A 6,027-nucleotide genomic window follows, 5' to 3' on the forward strand; every position below is an offset into this window, starting at 1 on the left:
TAAAATTTTTCTATTTTTTAAGTTTCTTTTTCCTGACCTATACCAGTTGGTTCACAACCAAGCACTTTCGTATGCATTATCTTATTTAAATAATTTTGTAGCATCGAGTGGAGTTAAAAATGTAACTTTTATATGCATCTTGTTATGTATATATGTTAAAGAATAGAGAAAATACAAACATTATTGATAAAGATAAGAGACAGGATTTTTGAATACAAATATTTCCAATGATCCAGGTTTTAATTATATAGAAGATGGGAGTTCGTATAGGTACATTCCCTACTACCTAACATCTAGGTAATGTAGATAATTGCTGAATTTCATTGAAGGTATGTATTATAAGATGTAGCTGAACAAATGAACAAAACATCAATCAAAGTGAAATCAAGTTTAGGCCAGGCACAATGGCTTATGCCTGTAATCCCAGCACTTTAGGAGGTCAAGGAGAACAGATTGCTTGAGCTCAGGACTTCGAGACCAGCTTGGGCCACATGGTGAAACCCCGCATCTATAAAAATGCAAAAAAAATTAGCCAGGCATGGTGGCACAAACCTGTGGTCCCAGCTACTCAGCAGGCTGAGGCAGGAGGATCCCTCAAGCCCAGGAGGTGGAGACTGCAGTGAGCCAAGATTGTGCCACTGCACTCCAGCCTGGGTGACAAAGCGAGACCATGTCTGAAAAAAAAAAAGTGAAATCAAGTTCAAAGAGTAAGTATGTATGTATGACAAACTGCAAATTTTTAAAAAACAGTGAAGCTGGAACACAGGATTATAGGGAATACATGAAGCACAAGGAAAAGACAGGACAAAGAGGATGAGATAAGAGAAACGTCTGGAAAAAAGAGAATTTTGAGAACAAAACTATGTATAAGCTGCAAGCCTCTAATTCATTATTCGTGAGGAATTGTCCATTTCATTACCTGTACATGTTAGCTTACATAACTAGGAATGGGTACTTAATGTAAGACATGAAAAGGATTGACTATGTAATTAATATTATTCACATTCATTCAATGTAGTACTTAACATTATCTAATCTACTTTTAAATTAAGATATCTACTGTGATGGTGCCATTATACCTTCCTCTGTGAGATTGTTCATGCAACAAATAGAGTACCAGCCATGGGCTCCGCACTATTTTAGGCACTGGGGATACAGTAGAGAACAAAATAAATATATTCTTGTCTTCATGGATATTATTTTCTTGTATGTGTATAGAGGAGTGGGAGAGGAGATAGACAAAGATTTTAAAAAGTGCAGCATGTAGGTGGTGATAAGTGTTAGTAAACATTAGCTACTAAATACCACATACTAGAAAATAAAGCAGAAACAGACTATAGGGATTGTTGGGACATTAATGAAAAAGTAGTATTTGTTGCTTTGGATAAAACATCAGGTGAGTTCAGTCATGGGGGCTCACACCTGTAATCCCAGCACTTTGGAAGGCCGAGGCGGACAGATCACTTGAGGTCAGGAGATCGCCACGAACATGGTGAAACCCTGTCTCTACTAAAAATACAAAAATTAGCCAGCCATGGTGGCGAGTGCCTGTAATCCCAGCTACTCAAGAGGCTGAGGCAGGATAATCACTTGAACCCGGGAGATGGAGGTTGCAGTGAGCTGAGATTGTGCCACTGCACGCCATCCTGGGCGACAGAGTGAGACTCCGTCTCAAAAAAAAAAAAAAAAAAATCCGGTGAAAAGAGCAGAACTGAAAACTACATATAAGTCCCTTGTCAATTTTTATTTAAAAATATATTTAATACAATATGCACAGAAAAGAGAATTAAAGGAAATATATCTGTTATGGTTTGGCTGTGTCCCTACCCAAATCTCATCTCCAGTTGCAATTCCCATGTGTCAAGGCAGGTGATTGGATCATGGGGACAGTTTCCCCCATGCTGTTCTCATTATAATGAGGGCATTCTCATGAGACTCATGAGATCTGGTTGTTTCATAAGTGTCTGGCAGTTTCCCCTGCACACTCTCTCTCTCTCCTGCCACCATGTAAAATGTGCCTTGCTTCTCCTTTGCCTCCCACCATGATTGTAAGTTTCCTGAGGCCTCCCCAGCCATGCAGAACTGTGAGTCAATTAAACATCTTTCCTTCATAAATTACCCAGTCTCAGTTATTCTTTATAGCAGTGTGAAAGTGATGAATACAGGAAATGTGTACCGCAAAGAGTGGGGCATTGCTATAAAGATAACGTGAAAATATGCAAGTGGCTTTGGAACTGGGTAACAGGCAGAGGTAGGAACAGTTTGGAAGCCTCTGAAAAAGATAGGAAGATGTTTGGAAGTCTAGAAAGTCCCAGAGACTTGTGGAATGGTTTTGACCAAAATGCTGATAGAAATATGGACAATGAAGTCCAGGCTGAGGTGGTCTCAGATGGAGACGAGAAACTTAGGTTTAAAAGGGAAGCAGAGCATAAAAGTTTGAAAAATTTGCATCCTGACCATGTGACAGAAGAGAAAAACCCATTTTCTAGGGAGAAATTCAAGCTAGCCACAGAAATTTGCCTAAGTAATGACTAGCCAAATGTTGGTAGCCTGGACAATGGGGAAAATGTCTCCAGGGCATGTCAGATATCTTCATGGCAGCCCCTGCCATCACAAGCCCCATGGGAAAAATGGTTTTCTCACCGGAACAGCTTTAGGACTTGGTGCCCTGCATCTCATGCTCCAGCTCCAGCTCTGGCTAAAAGGGGCCAAGGTACATCTCAGGCCATTGCTTCAGAGGGTGCAAGCCCTAAGTCTTGATGGCTTCCATGTGGTGTTGGGCCTGCAGGTGAGCAGAAGATAAGAGCTGAGCTTTGGGAACCTGTGCCTAGATTTCAGAGGAGGTAGGGAAACACCTGGATGTCCGGGCAGAAGTCTGCAACAGAGGCAGAGTCCTCATGAAGAACTTCTGCTAGGGCAGTGAAAAGGATAAAGGTGGGTTTGGAGCCCCCACACAGAGTCCCCACTGGGGCAGTGCCTAGTGGAGCTATGAGAAGAGGGCCACTGTCTTCCAGACCCTAAGATGGTAGATCCACAGACAGCTTGCACTATGCGCCTGGAAAAGCCACGGGCACACAATGCCAGCTCATGAAAGCTGCTGCAGGGCGTGAACCCTGCAAAGCCACAGGGGCTGAGCTGCTCAAGGCCTTGGGAGCCCACCCCTTGCATCAGTGTGACTTGGATGTGAGACTTGGAGTCAAAGGAGATTATTTTGGAGCTTTAAGTTTTACTGACTGCCCTAGTGGGCTTTGGACTTGCATGGGCCCTGTGGACCCTTTGTTTTAGCCAATTTCTCCCATTTGGAATGGGAACATTTACCCAAAGCCTGTACCACCCATCTTGGAATAACTAATTTGCCTTTGATTTTACAGATTCATAGGTGAAAGACACTTGCCTTGCCTCAGATGAGACTTTGGACTTGAACTTTTTTTTTTTTTTTGAGATGGAGTTTCACTCTTGTTGCCCAGGCTGGAGTGCAATGGCACAATCTCGGCTCACTGCAACCTCTGCCTCCCAGGTTCAAATGAGCCTCCTGCCTCTGCCTCCCAAGTAGCTGAGAAAACAGGCGCCTGCCACCATGCCTGCCTAATTTTTGTATCTTTAGTAGAGACGAGGTTTCACCATGTTGGCCAGGCTGGTTTCGAACTCCTGACCTCAGGTGATCTGCCCACCTTGGCCTCCCAAACTGCTGGAATAACAGGTGTGAGCCACTGTGCCTGGCTGGACTTGAACTTTTGAGTTAATGCTAGAACGAGTTAAGACTTTGGGGGACTGTTGGGAAGGCATGATTGGTTTTCAAATGTGAAAAAAAAACCATGAGATTTGGGAGGGGCCAGGGGCAAAATAATATGGTTTGGCTGTGTCCCCACCCAAATCTCATCAATCCCCACATGTTGAGGGAGAGACCTGGTGGAAGGTGATTGGATCATGGGGGCTGTTTCTTCCATGCTGTTCTTGTAATAGTGAGAGAGTTCTCACAAGATCTGATTGTTTGGTAAGTGTCTGGCAGTTTCTGCTGAGCTCTCTCTTGCTCTCCTGCTGCCATGTGAGACATGCCTTGCTTCCCCTTTGCCTTTCACCATGATTGTAAGTTTCCTGAGGCCTCCCCATCCATTTGGAACTGTAAGTCAATTATACCTTTTTCTTTCATAAATTACTCAGTCTCGGGTAGTATCTTTATGGCAGTGTGAAAACAGACTGATACAATATCTAAATATTAAAGTTATTATCTTTTCTGGATGATGAAACTAGGAGTGGTTTTTAAAAATGTTTTGCTTTATACTTTGCTATTTGTGTTAGGTTTCCTATTATTAGCATGTGTTACTTTTATAAATCAGAAACAATAATTTTTTTAGTTACTTTTCTAAATACATGTTCCGTATCTCCACTAAATGGAATGATTTGAGGTCCAACATAATATATTTGGGTTAGATGTATGAAAGAATCATTTTCTAAAGTGATAAAACTTTCCCAAAATGCCCTATAGTATCTCTCTTCATCATTACATTTCTTTCTATTAAAATGTGATTAGTTTTTCAGGTTCTGGACCAAATCCCCTGATTTCTCTTCTCTCATTCACTTACTGCTTAAACTACTCATAAAACAGTTACAGTAATTTTCTTGTACTTAATAGCCTCCTCTTGAGAGGCAGTGAGGTATGGTGATTAAGAAAACAAGTTTCAGAGACAGGCACCTAGGTTTGAATTCTACCTTGCTACTCACTATTTGTGTGACTTCGGCCAAGTTAACTTTCTGTGCTTCTGCTTCCCCATTCAGAAAACATGATGCCTACAATTCCTTTCTCATGCATTATTGTGAGGATATGTGAGTTCATCCATTTATAGTGCTCAGAACAGTCATTGGTATATATCAAATGTTAGTCATTATTATTCTAAATGTAATCTTCTAGAAGGCAGGAACATCATTTGTTTTTTCTCTATATTCTTAGCTACAACTAAGCACAGTGCTAGAAAATGTATCCTATCAATTTATACCTCTAGGACCCAACATATGTAGGGAACAGTGATATTTGGGGTGGGGGTGGAGAACAAAATGTCAAGCAGTTTTATAGGTTATCTTTGTAATTCACTTTCCATCATTCTTTGAGGTAGATGGGAGATATGAAAGCTAAGGTTCTGAGAATTTAAACATCTTGCCCAAGATGAAATGCAAATTAAATTCATGTCTGTTTGACTGTTTTCATTGTATTACGTGTTGGAAATAAACAGGAATAAATGGATCAGTAAATCTGAGAAAGATCTGGAATTGTCTTTGGAGCTCCTCCAAAATAAATTGTCTTTATTTACCACTGTATCCCCAAAATTTAGCACAGTGCCTACTTCACGGGAAGAACTCAATAAATATTTATTGCGAAATGACTGAATAAATAAAGAAGCAGAAGGACAAAGGAACAAAACAGAATGAATGGGCAAAAATGACTTCTTAAAAGGGTATTTTCAGTCTTAATATTCAGTCTCATACATTCAGTCTATGATGAATTTATGACAAATGCTTCCATTCAGCACCTTGAGAAAGCAGAGGAAGTAATTTATACTTATTTGCTATAAGTATAAATTCAGACCAACTGGTTCACAATCACTTGTGGTTTTGTTTTTATAAAATGAAGAAGTAATAAGCCTCCAGCTGTGCAACCATAAGTTTCATTCGTTTGGCTGTGGATTCACTTGGAATTGGCAAAGGAATTCAAATAAATTTGTGTATTGTATCCCAAACATATTCTTTTCTTTTTAATTCGGAGAACTTTAGGAAAACACTTTTTTTGTTTGCATTTTAGATGATTGTATCCTGACCCCCTCCCCCTCAAATATTCAGTCTCAAGCTGGTAAAAGTCTACAGGGACTCCTGGAGGAACTGTTAGAGATGCTTCCTTGATGCAAATTAGTCCCCAACTTCCTCTTAATACATGCATGGGAGAAACACCTAAGTTTAACATAAAATGGATTTGTTTATAATAAGATGTCAACATGATAAAAACACATTAATACATCTGCAGGGTACAATGAAAAG

Source organism: Homo sapiens, chromosome 1 (assembly GCF_000001405.40).
Source record: "Homo sapiens chromosome 1, GRCh38.p14 Primary Assembly".
Classification (NCBI taxonomy): Eukaryota; Metazoa; Chordata; class Mammalia; order Primates; family Hominidae; genus Homo; species Homo sapiens.